The sequence below is a fragment of the Homo sapiens genome, chromosome 1, assembly GCF_000001405.40.
Source record: "Homo sapiens chromosome 1, GRCh38.p14 Primary Assembly".
NCBI classification, from domain to species: Eukaryota; Metazoa; Chordata; class Mammalia; order Primates; family Hominidae; genus Homo; species Homo sapiens.
The window spans coordinates 76736816-76756618 of record NC_000001.11 but is presented as its reverse complement, the minus strand read 5'-3'; the positions used below and the strand labels follow the sequence as shown (position 1 = coordinate 76756618).

The window sequence follows — 19803 nt, the reverse complement described above, 5'->3', positions numbered from 1 at the left end:
ACGATCCACCTCCATCAATTATTGCCAATTGTCTCTTTGAAAATATATGCCATAGTACCTATTTTTCTTCTACATCATCTTCTAATTTCAAAGAATTATAATTTTTTCCTTTAATTAAACATTTGGCCCTTCAATATTGCCTTGTTTATAATCCTGGGCCCAAATGAAAATACCATGATTAAATAAATCTTAGGAGTCCCAGCTGAGATTATCTCAACAAGGAAACTGTAAAATGCTCTAAGACAAAAAGAAATAGAGGATGGTAATGAGAGATAAAAAGCATTATCTCACTGAACAAAGGAAAGAAGACATGAAAGCCAAAATGGGCTGACTACAGATCTTCTGACCTTAAGCTGAGTGTTTGGTGTGGCTTCCTTCATGGAATGGATGGTTGCAATGAATTTTGGTCTCCCAGCATTTGAGCATTCTTCATATGTTTGTGAGTCCCCCACCCTCCATTACATTATAAAGAGCTGGCTCCTACTAGAGAAGCTGAAAACATCACAATTGTTCGCCTAGACCCTGGGAGCTTAGGAGTGGGCACGTGACCCAGACCTTGGCAATGAGGGATAGCCACTCCATGCTCAAAGCTGGATGCTGATAACATGGAAAAGGAAGGACCGCATGGACTCTGTTCTGGAGAGAATGGCAGCAGCAACACTGAGTTTTCTGAGGCAGTAGAAAGTGGCTCTGGGGACCGAATATGTGCCTACTGCCCATGAGTTGGAAGTACACATTGTGGACTTTGTGTCCAGCTCTTGCGCAGTTGTGTCTTCATCAGACCAGCTCTGCTGTATGTGATTTTGGACACTGCTTTTGTTTGCCAAGCTTCCATACCTGGCCCTTCTAGAGCTTTTGTAAGATACCCAATACCCTTTTATTAAAACTATTCTCTGCTCACATTAGCTAGAGATGTTGTCTTTTGCTTGCAACTGAGTGATTCATCCTAATTCCATGTGATACACTAAATTTTAAGGATCTCAAATCTCTGTCCTCCTGTAGCTCCTCTCCGAGAATGTCATTAGAATGAATTTCACTTTGCCTTGTATTATAGTTACATATTTTGTTAAAAAGCAGATTTTTGAGTGCAGAGACTGTATTTTATTCATTTCTATCCTCTGCTAATGCCTCATTTCAAATGCCTTGCACGTGGTAAAGGTTATATATGAAATTGACTCGAGCAGGAGGTAAATATACCTTTATAGCTGCTTGGGCTAAACCAATCCCTGGTAGTGGACTGTGCAACTCTGAAAAACCCTGGAAAGAACAGGTGTCCTCTCACAATCAAGACTTAGGCAGTATCATGTTCCTTCTGAGGCTTTGTCTGTTAGGTCTAGGAGACTGGTCAGTAATAGCCAGAGTGATGGTGGCAATCCCTCCTCTAAGAATCCCCCATCAGAGTCCATTCACTGAACAATAATAGTTTGCATCACAGTGCCTATTGGGTCTTCTGGTGAGTTATGATAGTGGACCCAATGTGATTCCTCTTTTCAGCCAAATGGACAGAACTTCTTTCTTTGTTAAGAAAGAAAGAAAAAAGTAGTCCCTAGAACCAGCAACACGCTGACTTATTCCTGTGAATCTCTTTTCTTTTATGTACATGCAAAACAAACAAACAAACCCTGTGTTTAGTTTGCATCTATTTCTTAAACATACATGCCCACTGGCCTAATTTTACATAATGCTTATTGGACATGTGTGTAATATGGTTCCTGGAGTCATATTTCACTGCTATTTGGCAGGACCCTAGTGATCATATCTCTATTAAGTTATAATCAAGAAACCTGAAACTGACCATAGATATAACTTGTGAGATACACCTCATGAATTAGCTTGAGTTGTATCTATGGCTAGATATAACCTAAGATAGGTGGTAAATGGGGAAAAAATGCAATTCATGTTGACCATAGATATAACTCATGCTAATTCAAGAAGTTAATTACTGGTATTAGCATGTACTTTCTTCTCAGTTTTAGTTGTGGTCTTGATCCCTTGCCTGCACAGAGGTCTAAAGGAGTATGTGAATTTCACTTCCACTCTTCCTCTTACCTGTATATTATGACTTGGCAAAGGGCATTATATAATATATTTGTCCACTACAGTGATTGCTATTTCTTTTGGTGGAGATATAAATTTATCTTTAAAAAACTGTAAGAACTTTTGTAATTTCTCTGTCTCTCATAGCCCTATTGTTAAGTGCAAATTTGCCTTCATCTACCTAGGGTCTTTTCAGTATAGTGTTTAAGAGTATAGTATTGTGTAGTAATTAAAATATAGCCCCTAATATCAGAGTGCTAGTGATCAAATTCCAGCTTTACCATTGAATAGTTTTCAATTATTAATCACCCCTTGATGTCTTGATCTGTGAAAAGAGTATAATGACCTATCTCAGTGCTGTGAGGAGTAAGTTAATTTTCACATAAGGAGACTTAGAACAGAGCATGGTTCGTAATAAGACCTCAATCAGTGTTACCTATTATTGTCCAATTTTCCTTTTGTTTATCCTATTTGCAACTGAAAAGATAAGGCCATTCATTAGGTTTTCTAAAACTACAGCCATTGGAATTTACAAGAAGCCAAAACACTAACATTCAAGAATTAAACCTCTTAGCATACATAATAGATCTAGAAGAGGTTAACTGACAAATTAATTTTTAAAACTTAGTAAATACATCAATCATTATTAATTACCTTCTATGCCATTAAAACATTGTTTCATAGATGAATAGATTTTTGTCAATTTAGGTGCTAGTTTTTTGTAGATCATAAACATATGACTCAAAGTGAAATAATGTCATTTTAGATATTTTAGACTTGGAAGGGGTCTTAGATAGTAGCTGTTCTCATTTTCTGCCTGAAAAGGAAACCCATTTGCCCAAGGTCTCACAATGCTTAGGAGTCACAAGCCCCATAAGACCCATATTTTGAGTAGCAGCAGGACTGACTAGAAGGAAGGGAGTTTGCTCTCTTGGACTGTAAAATTCTATTAACTTACAGGACACACACAAATACAAAGATTTAGTCTGCAAGGAAGCAGTATATAAAAATAGACAAAGTTAGATTGCTATTCAAAATATTTCTTACAAAGTAAAATTCATATTATAAGGGAAAAATTCATTTTTATAACTGAATTTCACAGGTAACTAACAATTTAATCTTAAGAGTTTATTATTCTTGTTATTCAGGTCTCAGGTCAACTGTCACTGCCTCAGAGAGGCCTTCCCTAACCATCCTAGCTAAAGAGGTCCCTCCTTTAGTCACTCTTTCCCCTTATAACTTTTTTATTTTCTTCATATTTTATACCAAAAATTATATTCTCTGTCTCTCCCCTGCCTCCCCGTACTAGAATGTAAATTCCATGAGGATATAAGGCATTTTGATTTAATGGAACACTTCATGAATTTGCATGTCATCCACGTGCAAAGGCCATGCTAATCTTCTCTGAATCATTCCAGTTTAGTATATGTGCTGCCAAAGCAAGCATGACATTTTGTTTAATATTATATTTGTATGTGTTAGAATCATGCATAATAGTCTCTCAGTAAATATACATTCATTTGATCAAATGAATACATGAAGGCCTTGGTAAAGAAGCTTGATTTAACTTTGAGATCCTAATAAGGATAGTTGAAGAATTTTGTGCAGCAGAGTAATATGATCTTATTTACATGTTGGAAGGACACTCTGGCAGCATTGTGTGCATAACATCTCTAGTGGCAATCAGAAAATTAAATTTAGTTTTGGACTTCATTTGACAGCATTAGCAAATGTCATTTGGAGAAAAGAAAGGCATGGGATTTTAAAAATAATTGGAAATCAGAAGAATAAAAGAAGGAAACAGAAAGAAGGAAGAGGAAGAAGAGGAGAAAGAGAAGAAGAGAAAAAAAAGATACGAATTAAAGGTTTGTGAAAACAAATGCCTAGGAGAGTTAATTCTAGAGAACCAAGCAGATACATCTCAATGAGAGGGAGAGACTTGGAGAGGCAGCAAAGGTTAAATGGACTAGAAGAATTTCCTGGCACAAGTTTTGGGTTATGAGATGCTCTATCTCTGGATATCAATTTGGATCCTTACAATATTAGTTTCAGAGCTACTTCACCATGTTTTCACCTGTGGTTTTCATGAAATTTTGTGCTGACATATGGACTTAGTGATCCAGAAAGTTGCCTGTGCCATGGGAACTCTCAAAGGTCATATACAAGCACCAAGCAAACTGCGGGTGGGATTGGGTAGAGGTGCTAATGAACTGAGCTGACTTTCTGTGTATTTTAGTATAATAATGGTGGCTGTTCACCCCAGCAGAAAGTAACAGGAACTCTTAGCATGCTGAATTTAATTCTAGAATCTCAGGTGGTAAAAAGAAGAGGTCACGTAATTAACTCTCAGTTAATGGAAGAAGAACAGTGTCATGAATCAAAGATTATTTAAAAATTGCTTATAAAAATGGGACTTTGGAATGCACTCTTTGACTTTTTTGGCAGAGGATTTACATCTTATTTGCTTTGCTTAAGCTAATAGTAAAATTAGTTTGTAGTCCTTCTGCATTTGGAAGATATTTGGCAGCAGTTGGATGAAAGGAGAGTAGGAGAAAAGGAAAGACAAGTATATGGGGAGAGAGAAGGAGCGGAGAAACATGTTGGCTGGCTGGAAAGTCAGGCCAGGGTAAAAGCTTGCCACGTGTAACCTGTATGGTGTAAACTCATAAATGCACAATGAAAAATTATATAATTAAAGGCACCAAGCCTGATGGAATCAGCATTCAATAAATATTTGTTGAATGAATAAAAAGATTTTTTCTTTGCATTTGAAGGAAGGATTTCTTATCTTATTGGAAATCTGCAAATAGTTTCTTCAGCATTTTTATTGGATGCTGTCTTGGGAAGAAGGCACAGAGATCCTCTTCCCATGCTTTTTATCTTCCTCTCGTTACTCTTCAGATTGACCCTGAAATAGTTTAAAAAAAAAAAAAAGCTTTTAGGGCTTGGGTATAAAACCAGCGGTTGCAACCATGCAACCAGAGCTTAACATATCAGTTTTTTTCAAAAGCAATGTGTGTTGGCTCTTAGGTATACATTTTTAAAAGATTGGAGAATGAGTTACTTTAGTCTGAGGTCTCCTGCTCATGAATGCCTAGCCACTTTTGATACTTGTCGGTACAACATGTGCACAGTTAATTACCATTGGTGAAGCTAGAAGCCCAATCTCTGCTTGCCCTGCTACTTCTGACAAGGGTTAGGACTATCTCCTCCGGCCTTATTAGAGGATGGTACTATGGCTAGCTCTCCAGCACAGCCTGAGGCAGTGGGGCACTCAGCTAACCCACGCTGCTGCTCTTGTACCAGTTGGGATCCACTGATAAAGTGATCCAGATCTCACAGGATCTGTGGCTATCGGAACAATTGCACCACACTCTGCCTGGAGTGGTTTGAGATTTGAAGACTTCATCTCTTCTTTGCCAGGGATCCTCCATTCTCTTTCCCACTAGACTTCAGCAGGACCAAGACATTAATGCTTGCTTGTGTTTGTATCCAGACGGTGTGAATCTATAACTCCACGTAAATAGACTAATCTTGAAGAGAATCTATTTTGCATCTCCATCATCAGACTATACAAGCATCTGTTCTAAGATACTGTGTCTCAGATATCTCATATACATCTATCTCTTTGTGTCATGGCAGTGGAGTATCAAACAAATAGGGTAAAGGCACACAGCAAACAGTTCTGACCAGACACAGTCCAATCACCCTAGGGATATCTGTACTACTCCAAAAATTGTGATCTAGCAACCATATTAAAAGAAATTTTAGAGATCTCAATTAAGAACCCTCACTGTTATAGACTATTCTCATTTATTATTTCCAAATTGCTGGTGGAGTACAGAAACAAAACCAAAGTTCAGGTAGCTCTGTGACATTTGTCAATGTCCTTTTATGTCAGAGAGTGCTAGCTGGTATTCCTCATTGCTAATAAAATATGGGCTGCATTTATATTGGTAATTGTGTTAGACTACATGTAATGGAAATTTGACCTCAGTGGTTTAATAGAGTAGGGTGTTATTTTTCTTATGTACTCAAGTATGGAGGTACAAATTCTAGTTCTTTAGGGTAGCTCCATGGTGTTGTCTAGAACCCAGGCTCTACCTACCTTTCTGCTTTGATTCCCTTACTGCTTGACTTTCTTCCTTATGGCTTTCTTCTGAGATGGCTTTTATTGTTTTTCCCTTTGAGCATCACATCCAATTCCAAGAAAAAAGAGCAGAGAGTGTGGGAAGAGGGAAGATAAAAAGCAAAAGAGATAAGCTGGCTGAGTCTGTCCTTTTTTATCAGGAAGGCAATACTTTTCCTAAAATCTTAACTGAGTCAATTTCTACTTCCATTTCTTTGATCAGAACAGGAGCAAATGGCCACACTTAGCAAAGTAGGTTGTAAGAGTTGCGAATGTTTTTTTCTTGCTGTTTCAGACAAATCCAGGACCCTATTGGTGAGAAATATAGATGATATCTTATTGGCAAAGTTATTGGTTAGGCAGCTTATATTTTCCTCATGCTATAACATATGGAATAAATATTTTTCCCAAATTCATACTCCAAATGATTCATCATAGAAGTTATTTCAAGCTTCTGTAACATAAAGAAAACAGCTAACCAGATTCTATCAAATTTTTCCTTGTGCAGAGATGGCGTGGATGTTAGACGTAGATCTCAAGGGCCTTATCTATTTTTCTTTCCTACTGGACCATGAGCTCTGGTGAATGGTAGGGGAGTCAGTGAGGAACAGTAGGGTCTGTAGTTTTCTTTTTTCCCAAGCACCTAATACATCACATATGGTAAGAGCTCAAAAGAACACGTTTTTGTTTTGGTTTTGGTTTTTGGTTTTTTTGAGACAGAATCTTGCTCTGTCACCAGGCTGGAGTGCAGTGGTGTGATCTCGGCTCACTGCAACCTCCGCCTCCCAGGTTCAAGCAATTCTTCTGCCTCAGCCTCCCAAGCAGCTGGGATTACAAGCATGTGCCACCAAGCCCAGCTAATTTTTGTATTTTTAGTAGAGACGGGGCTTCACCACGTTGGCCAGGATGGTCTTGATCTCCTGACCTTGTGATCCGCCTGCCTCAGCCTCCCAAAGTGCTGGGATTACATGAGAAGAACACGTTTAATGATGAGTGAATGCAGTCAAAGTCAGTAGATCTGGGATTTGGCATCATCACTGATTGGCTTCAAGATCTTGAGCACATGGCTTGACCTTTTCATATCTGCTTTTCCCCAACTCTGAAATGGTGACATTACATGCCAATGCCTCATGGGGCTATAAAGAAGGTCAAATAAGATAATGCATGATAAACAGTTTTTGCATAGTGTAGGTATTTACGGTTTGCAAAGTGCTTTCAGTTCTACAGCCCTTCTTGACTTTCTAGTCCTCATAATTTCTCTTTGGTACTCCATTATTACTCTAGTCCCACCCCTCATCTCTAGTAGAGAACGGCCATCACTGAATTGACTTCTGATAAAGAAACTAAAGCTTGGATGTCTGGTCACCGATCTAAGCTCATATAAATTACAACTGGCAAAGCTTGATGTTCAGGTTTGAAAAAAGCAGTATGTAATAAGCTTTCATTATTTACAGCCTGCTTTTTTCAAAAAAGGATTTAAGGAGATGAGAAGTTGTTATTACTTTAATCTGGCCATTCTGAGTAACACATGCATGCAATAGCTTATAGATAGTTTAAAAGATAAAGTATCATTTAGCCTACTAAAGAAAAGATTGAAAGCTCTCATGAAGGGTTTTCAAGAATGTAAGGGAACCATGGATATAGCACAAAAGGAGTTGGAGCATAATAAAGTTAGGTTAAGTACTGTTAAATAGTGAGCGTTTAAAAATTCTAAAATGGGTTAATAAGGTTACTTACTCTAGGAGTTTTAAAAAACAAAATAAATTCTTATCTGTTGGAGGTAGTTTAAGTACAGTATGCTAAGAATAGACCATGTGGTCTTCCTCCTTAAGTGTGCCTTTGAGCCTTATAATCTCCAAACTCTTAGAATTCATTATCACTTCTGCTTATTTACTTCAAAATAACAACTGACACTTTACAATTTACAAAGTGCTTTCACACATAGCCTCTCATTTAATTTTTACAACAACCTTCTAATATATTATACACATTTCCCAGAAAAAGCAACTAAAAAAACTAAAATTTGAGCCAAGTTATTCTAAATCTAAATATGATGCTCTTTTCTGGAAAACTAATCTCCCTCCCATTTCTATATGGTTACACTGTGGCTGGAGAGCTGGTGAATTTGTTGTCTTTCACTTTAAACATGCTTCTTCTATAGTCCTGGACTACAGTACAAGCTTGGTTGGTGGAACCATTCTCTATCAAGTTGCTTGAGACAGGGACCTAGGACTCAAACTTGACTATTTACTTTTTCTTTCCCACCTCTGCTCAAACCCGTTGATTTTAGCTTTTAAGTACATCTCAAAAATTTCTCTTCCCTCCAGCTCACCCTCATTTTTTCAGTTTAATCTTTACCACCTTTTAACTGAATTACTAAATCATTTCCCTCTTAGATTTTCTTCTTTCAAAATTACTTAAGTCCAACCCGGAACCAGAGTGTAGAGCTTTAAGCAGGAGATCAAACTGGTTAGATTCCCATGGAAATCCCTGGCCTAGAGCCCTTTGACAGTACCCCCCTCCAGTCTCCCATAATGCATCTTAGATTTCAGCCATTTTCATAGTTCTTTGATATTGATGCCATAGTTTTATACCACTGAAAGTGATATTCAGTGTATTGCTGGAAAGAATACATTGATACCCACAGATATTCAATATAAGAGAATCCATATGACCAACACATATCATGTACTTTTTCAACCTTCCAAAGTTGAAAGAGAAGTTTCAGTTGTTCAAGGATTGAACATTCATGCAAGAGCACTGGGTTTAAAACTCATGGGTTTAGGTAGTATGCATCACCAGAGCAATACATATTTTAGTTTATCCAGGGCAATAATATTCATGAAGTCATGCGTTGAATGTGCTAGCTATGTCTCTCCCCCAACATACATTAAAATACATATAAAATCATTAATTTTTAAAAGTTTATTACCTAAAGCCACCTCCCTTTTACCAGTGGTAAACCTAGTGCAAATGGTCCCCAACTTTTGATGTTTTGACTTTTGACTTTATAGTGGTAGGAAAGCTACACATATTCAGTATACTCCTTGACTTATGATGAGGTTATGTCCAGATAAGTAAACATGTGTGTAAATATCACACAACATACCCATGTAACAAACCCGCACATATACCCCCTAAGTCAATTTCTTAGCATGATGTAAATGACTCTGTGATTTGGCCTCTATTTCACCGGGTAGCCTCATCTATAGGGTGATTATAAGATGGCCATATAATTTTTCACCCAAAACAGAATATTTTTTGGTGTGAAGTGTGGGTGTAATTGATAACTTAGCTGGTACAATGTGTATAAAACTGTAGCATCCCAGGAAAACCTGGACATATGGTCACTGTATTCATCTGCCCACTCTGTAATTTCCACTTTAAGCACTTGAGTAGTACTCAAGTATTTTTAGGTTTTTGTACCCACCATATGATTTCAAGCCTTTGAGATTTTGCACATCCTGTTTCTTTAGCCTGGAAACCCTTTCTTACTTTTCTTCTGATACCTAACTCCTAGGCATTAGCTTCTTTGGGAAGCCTTGTTAGACTCCAGACTGGACCAAATGAATATGTCCAGTGTTTCCTGAGAATTTGAAACATATCTTTATCTTATTTTCACATTAAGACGTTCTCCAGGGCAGGTACCATGTCTTACTGATTTTGTTCCTTCCAGCACATAGCACAATTCAAGGCATACATAAGTGTCTATATATGACTCACTATTGACCAACCCAGTGTAGGGGTTCATGCTGTTCTCCTGTAGATAACGCTGACATTAGTCCTAGACTGACTGATGATGTTGGCCCTACCTAAGAGCATTGCTTCCCTCTGGGAAAATGTTGGCTTGTCTCCCCGCTCTCTTCCGTATGTCCTCTCATCTTCTGTGCAAAGGCAGAATATCATGGTGCTTAAGACATGCTTTAGGAGTTAGACAGACCTGGTTTATAATTCTTGCCCTGCACTTACTAGCTTTGTGAACAATTTATTCAACTTTCTTAAACCTCAATTTCTTTGTCTGTAAGATCTGGATGATAATAAAACCTATCTTGTGGTGATGTTGTGATGACTAAGTGCTATGATAAATCTAAAGGGATGACTGTAGAGCCTAGTGTGCAGTATGTGCTCATTATAAATGTCTCAGAGAGTGATGTTATCAACATGGTACAGTAGGAAGACCTGGATCCTCCTTCCCTGCAACAAACACATAGATAAAGCAATAATTCATAGACAAATTCCCTTTGTGAGAAACCAGAAACTAATTGAAAGGCTCTTGCATCCTGGGAGGAACTAATAGCAACTCACTGAAGCCAGTAGGGAGATTTGGGATATGTTCTTACCAGAGACCCTGACCCCATTGCAGCATCATATGATCAAGAAGAGAATCCCTCACTGTTAACTTTACTCAGTGGAGGCAGGGGTTGTTTTACACATCCAGCACTCTGACTTTTATGAGCCACTCCCTAGAGGAGTGGCTGTGCCGTGTCGGTCTTGGAGCTCTGATGGGTCTGGCACAGTATAGCCACCTGGAAGAGAACAGAGGCAGTGGCTTGGCCTGGTAAATGCCATCGACTCTCCCCACTGCTCAATACAGAGTGAGTGGATGAAAAATCCCAGCTCTCAGCTTCTCCCTTTCCCCATGGACAGAAGAGTTGATTCATGGATCCCACATTCCAACTTCTTTGGGGCTGCCCAAAGAAATAGCATCTTTCTCATCAACCCTGGAGCACCAATAGATCTGGCACATTCTAGCCACGTGGGGTACAATGGAGATAGCAGCTTGGGTTGGTAGATGGCATAGCTTTCCCTTCTGGGTCATAACAGAGAACATGGACAAAACCACAACTTCCGACCTCTTTCTGGGGAGAAAAAGAGTTGATGGAGGCCCCCAGAATCTGACCATGTTATTTGGTGGAATTTTCTTCTCTATAACGCCAGTCTGTGAAGACTGGAAGAGATGCCGACTTTGTCTAACGTACAGACATCAACACAGAGAGTTAAGAAAAATGAAAAACCAGGAAAAAGTGTTCCAAACAAAGGAATAAGAAGAATCTCCAGAAAATGATCTTAATGAAATGAAATTATATGATTTACCTGACAGGGAATTAAAAATAATTCTCATAAAGATGTTCACGGAGATCAAGACAATAATGCATGAACAAAGTGAAAATTTTATAAAGAGATAGGAAATATTAAAAAATACCAAATGGCAATCATGGAGCTGAAGAATACAATAGTTGAACTGAAAAATTTGCTAGAGAGATTCAACAGCAGAAGAAAGGATCAGCAAATGCAAAAACAGGTCACTGGAAATAATTCAGTCAAAACAGCAGAAAGAAAAAAAGAATGTAAAAAGTGAAGAAAATATAAAGAAACTGTGAGACACCATCAAGCAGACATATAAACATTATGGGAGTCTCAGAAGAAGAAAATAGATGAAAGGAATAGAAGGCTTATCCAAATAAATAATGGCTAAAAACTTCCCAAATTTGGGGAAGAAAGAGGACATCTAGGTTTAAGAAGTCCAAAAGGCACCAAATAATTTGAACCCAAAAAAGTCCATATTGAGCCATATAATCAAATTGTCAAAATTTAAAGGCAAAGAAAATATTGAAAGCTGCAAGCAAGAAGTAACTTGTCAAATACAAAAGAACTTTCATAGGACAATCCCCATATTTTTCAGCAGAAACCTTGCAGACAGAAGGAGTGGAATGATATATTTGAAGTGCTGAAAATAAAAATACTGCTAACTAAGAATACTGTTCCCAAAACTATCCTTCAAAAATGAAAGACAGATAAAGACTTTCCTAGACAAACAAAAGCTGAGAAAATTCATCACCACTAGACCTGCCTTACAAGAAATGCTGAAGGGAGTTATTCAAGTTGAACTGAAAGGATGCTAAACAGCAACACAATGGCATAAGAAAGTATGAAATTTGTTGCTACTGGTAAATATGTAAACAAATACAGGATACTGTACTATTGTAATAGCAGTGGCTAAATCACTTTTAATTCTCATATAAAAGCTAAAAGACAAAGTATTAAAAATAACTCTAATTAAAAATATGTTTAAAGTTATACAATACAAATAGATGGAAATTTTTATAACAATAAAATACAGTGGGGGGGGGAGAAGTTAAAGTGTAGAGTTCTTGTATGATATTGACTTTTACTTGTTATCAACTTAAAATAGAGTGTTATTTCTATAAGATATTTTATGAAATCACCAAGGTAACCATGCTCACCCACACACAGGCACACATACACACACACACAAACTTGTAGAATTTACACAAAAGAAAAAAAGAAAGGAATCAAAGTCTATATGAAAAATCAAAACACAAAGGAAGACAACAAAAGAGGAAAAGGCAGGTAAAAGAACTACAAAAATAACAGGAAACAATGAACAAAATGGCAATATTAATTTTTTTATGTAAGTAACTTTTAAAAATATAAATGGATTAACATCCCCAATCAAAAGAGTGACTGAGTGGATAACAAAACAAGATCCAGGACTTAGCTCTACGCTGTCTACAAGAAACTTACTGTAGAATTAAGAACATATATAGTCTTACAGTGAATAAATGAAAAAAAGTTATTCCGTACAAATAAATTGTCACCAAAAAAGAGCAGAAGTGGCTCTATTTATCCAGATGACTAATTTATCTTTCTCTAATATGAAAAAATGTTACAAGACAAAGAAAGATAATTTATGATAACAGAGTCAATTAACCAGGGAGATAGAATAATTATAAATATATATGCACCCAACGTCAGAGTTACTAAACATATAAAGCATAAAGCAAACATTGACAGAACTAAAGGGATAAATAGCAACACAATAATAGTAGAAGACTTCAATGCCCCACTTTCAATAATGGATAGAATACCCAGGCATAAGACCAAAAAGGAAACAAAAGATTTCAATAACACTGTAGAGCAAATGGACCTAACAGACATATAGAGAACATTTCACCCAACAGCAGCAGAATATACAATACACGTTCTTATGAAGCAAACATGACTTTTTCTCCACGATACATCACATGTTAAGTCACAAAACAAGATGTAACAAATTTAAGATTGAAATCTTACTAAGTGTCTCTTCTGACCCCAGTGGAATAAAACTAGAAATCTATAGCAGAAGAAAACTTATAAAATTCACAAATATATGGAAATTAAACCACTCACTTTTGAACAACAATTGGGTCAAAGAAGAAATCAAGAAGGAAATTAGAAAATACCTCAAGACAAATGAAACTGAAAACACACCACACCAAAACTTATGGGACACAAAATAAATAGAACCAAGTGGGAATTTTATAGTGATAAATGTTTACATTAAAAAATAAGGTAGATCTGAAATAAACAAACCAATTTTACACCTCAAGGAACTGAAGAAAGAAGAAAAAACAGCCAAAAATTAGCAGAAGGAAGAAAACAAAGTCTAGAGACAAATGAATGAAATACAAAATTTAAAAGTAACAGAAAAAAAATCATAAAACTGAGAATAGGTTTTGTGAACATATAAACAAAATTGACAGACCCTTAGCTAGACAAACTTAGAAAAAAGCAGAGAAGACTTAAATAAGTAAAATCAGAAATGAAAAAGGAAGCATTACAACAGATTCCACCAAACTATAAAGGATCATAAGAGAGTATTCTAAACAATTATATGCCAGCAAACTATACAAACTAAAAGACATGAATATATTTCTAGAAACAAACAACCCATCAAGACTAAATCAGGAAGAAATAGAAAGTTGGAAGGACCTGTAACTGGTATAGAGATTGAATTAGTAATAATAATAATAACAACAACTCTAAACAAAGAAAAACACAAGACAGATGGCTTCCCTAGCAAATTCTAACAATAATTTAAAGAAGAACTAACACTGATTCTTCTCAAACTCTTCCAACAAATGGAAAAGGAGGAAATTCTTCCAAACTCATATTATGAGGCCAGGATAACCCTGATACCAAAGCCAAAAAAACAGGCAACACAAGAAAATAAAACTATAGGCCAATATCTCTAATGAACATAGATGCAACAATCCTCAATAAAATAGTAGCAAACTGAATCCAACAGCACATTAAAAGAATTATACACCATGACCAAATGGGATTTATCTCTGGGATGCAAGAATGTTTTAACATATGAATATCAAAGAATGTGATTTGCTACATTGACAGAATAAAGGATAAAAATCACATGATTATGTCAATAGATGCAGAAAAAGCATTTGACAAAATTCAACATCCTTTTATGATAAAAGCTCTTAACAAACTAAGAATAAAAAAAATTATCCCAACATAATAAATGTCATATATAAAAAGCCCACAGCTGGTGGCTGGCAAGATGGTGGAATAGGAACAGCTCCGGTCTGCAGCTCCCAGCGAGATCAACGCAGAAGGTGGGTGATTTTTGCATTTCCAACTGAGGTACTTGGCTCATCTAACTGGGACTGGTTAGACAGTGGGTGCAGCCCATGGAGGGGAAGCTGAAGCAGGGTGAAACGTCGCCTCACCCAGGAGGTGCAAGGGGTCAGGGAACTCCCTCCCCTAGCCAAGGGAAGCCGTGAGGGAGGGACTCTGCTTTGAGGAACAGTGCATTTCTGCCCAGATACTACACTCTTCCCACGGTCTTTGCAACCCACAGACGAGGTGATTCCTTTGGGTGCCTACACCACCAGGGCCCTAAGTTTCAAGCACAAAACTGGGTGCCCGTTTGGGAAGACACTGAACCAGCTGCAGGAGTTTTTCTTTCATACCCCAGTGGCGCCTGGAATGCCAGTGAAACAAAACCGGTCACTCTCCTGGAAAGGGGGCTGAAGCCAGGGAGACAAGTGGTCTAGCTCAGTGGATTCCACCTCTACAAAACCCAGTAAGCTAATATCCACTAGCTTGAAATTCTTGCTGCCAGCACAGTGGTCTGAAGTCGACCTAGGACGCTTGAGCTTAGTGGGCGGACGGGCGTCCACCATTACTGAGGCTTGAGTAGGCGGTTTTCCCCTCACAGTGTAAACACAGCTGCCGGGAATTTTGAACTGGGCGAAGACCACCTCAGCTCTGCAAAGCTGCTGTAGTCAGACTGCCTCTCTAGATTCCTCCTCTCTGGGTGGGGCATCTCTGAAAGAAAGGCAGCAGCCCCAGTAAAGGGTTTATAGATAAAACGCCCATCTCCCTTGGGGAAGGGGCGGCTGTGGGCGCAGCTTTAGCAGACTTAAATGTTCCTGCCTGCTGGCTCTGAAGAGAGCAGTGGATCTTCCAGCGCAGCGCTCGAGCTCTGCTAAGGGACAGACTGCCTGCTCAAGTGGGTTCCTGACATCCATGCCTCTTGACTGGGAGACATCTCCCAGCAGGGGTCGACAGACACCTCACAGAGGAGAGCTCCGGCTGGCATCTGGCAGGTGCCCCTCTGGGATGAAGCTTCCAGAGGAAGGAACAGGCAAGCAATCTTTGCTGTTCTGCAGCCTCCACTGGTGATACCCATGCAAACAGGGTCTGGAGAGGACCTCCAGCAAACTCCAGCAGACCTGCAGCAGAGGGGCCTGCCTGTTAGAAGAAAAACTAACAAACAGAAAGGAATAACATGAACATCAACAAAAAGGACATCCAGACAAAAACCCCATCTGGAGGTCACCAACATCAAAGACTAAAGGTAGATAAATCCACGAAGATGAGGAAAAACCAGCACAAAAAGCCTGAAAATTCCAAAAACCAGAACACCTCTTCCCTGCCAAAGGATCACAACTCCTCACAAGTGAGGGAACAAAACTGGACAGAGAATGAGTTTGATGAATCGACAGAAATAGGCTTCAGAAGGTGGGTAATAACAAACTCCTCGAGCTAAAGGAGCTTGTTCTAATCGAATGGAAGGAAGCTAAGAACCTTGAAAAAAGGTTAGAGGAATTGCTAACTAGAACAAACAGTTTAGAGAAGAAAATAAATGACCTGATAGAGCTGAAAAACACAGCATGAGAATTTCGTGAAGCATACACAAGTATCAAAAGTCAAATTGATCAAGGGGAAGAAGGGATATCAGAGATTAAAGATCAGCATAATGAAACAGAGCATGAAGACAAGATTAGAGAGAAAGGAATGAAAAGGAACAAAAAAAGCATCCAAGAAATATGGGACTACGTGAAAAAGACCAAACCTACGTTCAATTGGTGTACCTAAAAGTGACAGGGAGAATGGAACCAAGTTGGAAAACACTCTTCAGGATACTATCCAGGAGAACTTCCCCAACCTACCAAAACAAGCCAACATTCAAATTTAGGAAATACGGAGAACACCACAAAGATACTCCTTGAGAAGAGCAACCCCAAGACACATAATTATCGGATTCACCAACATTGAAATGAAGGAAAAAAGGTTAAGGGTAGCCAGAGAGAAAGGTCAGGTTATTCACAAAGGGAAGCACCTCAGACTAACAGCAGATATATCTGCAGAAACCCTACAAGCCAGAAGAGAGTGTGGGCCAATATTCAACATTCTTAAAGAAAAGAATTTTCAACCCAGAATTTCATATTCAGCCAAACAAAGCTTCATAAGAGAAGGAGAAATAAAATCCTTTACAGACAAGCAAATGCAGAGAAATTTTGTCACCACTGGCCTCTCTTACAAGAGCTCCTGAAGGAAGCACTAAATATGCAAAGAAAACCCGGTACAAGCCACTGCAAAAGCATAACAAATTGTAAAGACCATTGACACTATGAAGAAACTGCATCAACTATGGGCAAAATAACCAGCTAGCATCAAAATGACAGGATCAAATTCACACATAACAATATTAACCTTGTACCTCTGGTAGAATTCAGCTGTGAATCCATCTGGTTCTGGACTTTTTTTGGTTGGTAAGCTATTAATTATTGCCTCAATTTCAGAGCCTGTTATTGGTCTATTCAGAGATTCAACTTCTTCCTGATTTAGTCTTGGGAGGGTGTAGGTGTCGAGGAATTTATCCATTTCTTCTAGATTTTCTAGTTTATTTGCATAGAGGTGTTTATAGTATTCTCTGCTGGTAGTTTGCATTCCTGTGGGATCGGTGGTGATACCCCCTTTATCATTTTTTATTGCATCTATTTGATTCTTCTCTCTTCTCATCTTATTAGTCTTGTTAGTGGTCTATCAATTCTGTTGATCTTTTCAAAAAAACAGCTCCTGGATTCATTGATTTTTTGAAGGTTTTTTTGTGTCTCTATTTCCTTCAGTTCTGCTCTGATCTTAGTTATTTCTTGCCTTCTGCTAGCTTTTGAATGTGTTTGCTCTTGCTTCTCTAGTTCTTTTAATTGTGATGTTAGGGTGTCAATTTTAGATCTTTCCTGCTTTCTCTTGTGGGCATTTAGTGCTATAAATTTCCCTCTACACACTGCTTTGAATGTGTCCCAGAGATTCTGGTATGTTGTGTCTTTGTTCTCGTTGGTTTCAAAGAATGTCTTTATTTCTGCCTTCATTTCATTATGTACCCAGTAGTCATTCAGGAGCAGGTTGTTCAGTTTCCATGTAGTTGAGCGGTTTTGAGTGAGTTTCTTAATCCTGAGTTCTAGTTTGATTGCACTGTGGTCTGAGAGACAGTTTGTTATAATTTCTGTTCTTTTACATTTGCTGAGGAGTGCTTTACTTCCAACTATGTGGTCAATTTTGGAATAGGTTTGGTGTGGTGCTGAGAAGAATGTATATTCTGTTGTTTTGGGGTGGAGAGTTCTGTAGATGCCTATTAGGTCCACTTGGTGCAGAGCTGAGTTCAATACCTGGATATCCTTGTTAACTTTCTGTCTCATTGCTCTGTCTAATGTTGACAGTGGGGTGTTTGTAAATGGGCTAAATGCCCCAGTTAAAAGACACAGACTAGCAAATTGGATAAACAGTCAAGACCCATCAATGTGCTGTATTCACGAGGTCCATCTCACATGCAAAAACACACACAGGCTCAAAATAAAAGGATGGAGGAATATTTACCAAGCAAATAGGAAGCAAAAAAAGGAGGTGTTGCAATCCTAGTCTCTGATAAAACAGACTTTAAACCAGCAAAGATCAAAAGAGACAAGAAGAGCATTACATACTGGTAAAGGCAAAGAAGGGCATTACATAAAGTAAAGGGATCAATGCAAAAAGAAGAGCTAACTATCCTAAATATATATGCACCCAAAACAGGAGCATCCAGATTCATAAGGCAAGTTCTTAGAGACCTAAAAGAGACTTAGACTCCCACACAATAATAGTGGGAGACTTTAACACCCCACTGTCAATATTAGACAGATCAATGAGACAGAAAATTAACAAGGATATTCAGGACTTGAACTCAGCTCTGGACCAAGAAGACCTAATAGACATCGACAGAACTCTCCACTCCAATCAACAGAATATACATTCTTTTCAGCACCACATTGCACTTATTCTAAAATTGACCACATAATTGGAAGTAAAGCACTCCTCAGCAAACGCAAAAGAATGGAAATCATAACAAACAGTCTGTCAGATCACAGTGCAATCAAATTAGAATTTAGGATTAAGAAACTCACTCAGAACCACACAACTACATGGAACCTGAACAACCTGTTCCTGAATGGCTACTGGGTAAATAACAAAATTAAGGCAGAAATAAATAAATTCTTTGAAACCAAAGAGAACAAAAACACAACATACCAGAATCTCTGGGACACAGCTAAAGCAGTGTTTAGTGGGAAATTTATAGCACTAAATGCCTGCAGGAGAAAGCAGGAAAGATCTAAAATTGACACCCTAACATCACAATGAAAAGAACTAGAGAAACAAGAGCAAACAAATTCAAAAGCTAGCAGAAGGCAAGAAATAACTAAGATCAGAGCAGAACTGAAGGAGATAGAGACACGAGAAACTCTTTAAAAAAATCAATGAATCCAGGAGCTGGTTGTTTGAAAAGATGAACAAACTAGATAGACTGCTAGCCAGACTAATAAAGAAGAAAAGAGAGAAGAAAAAAATAGACACAATAAAATATGATAAAGGGGATATCACCACTGATCCTACAGAAATACAAGCTACCATCAGAGAATACTGTAAACACCTCTATGCAAACAAATTAGAAAATCTAGAAGAAATAGATAAACTCCTGGACACCTATACCCTCCCAAGACTAAACCAGGAAGAAGTCAAATCCCTGAATAGACCAATAACAAGTTCTGAAATTGAGGCAGTAACTAATAGCCTACCAACCAAAAAAAGCTCAGGACCAGATGGATTCACAGCCAAGTTCAACCAGAGGTACAAAGAGGAGCTGGTGCTATTCCTTCTGAAACTATTCCAAACAACATAAACAGAGGGACTCCTCCATAATTCATTTTATGAGGCCAGCATCATCCTGATACCAAAACCTGGCAAAGATACAACAAAAAAAGAAAATTTCAGGCCAGTATCCCTGATGAACATTGATGTGAAAATCCTCATTAAAATACTGGCAAACCGAATCCAGCAGCACATCAAAAAGCTTATCCACCACAATCAAGTTGGCTTCATCCCTGGGATACAAGGGTGGTTCAACATATGCAAATCAATAAATGTAATCCATCAAATAAACAGAACCAATGACAAAAACCACGTGATTATCTCAATGGATGCAGAAAAGGCCTTTGATAAAATTCAACACCTCTTCA

The 19803-nt window shown here is 38.1% G+C and overlaps 1 pseudogene, besides 1 other annotated feature; it reads right to left on the bottom strand.

Moving 5' to 3' along the window:
- On the bottom strand, positions 3379-3484 carry RNU6-161P (RNA, U6 small nuclear 161, pseudogene; annotated as a pseudogene).
- Positions 17921-18215: an enhancer, noted in NCBI's record as "tiled region #3313; HepG2 Activating DNase matched - State 9:DNaseU". NCBI's record gives its function as "activates a minimal TATA promoter and a strong SV40 promoter by Sharpr-MPRA in HepG2 cells {active_cell/tissue: HepG2}" and the evidence as "EXISTENCE:reporter gene assay evidence [ECO:0000049][PMID:27701403]".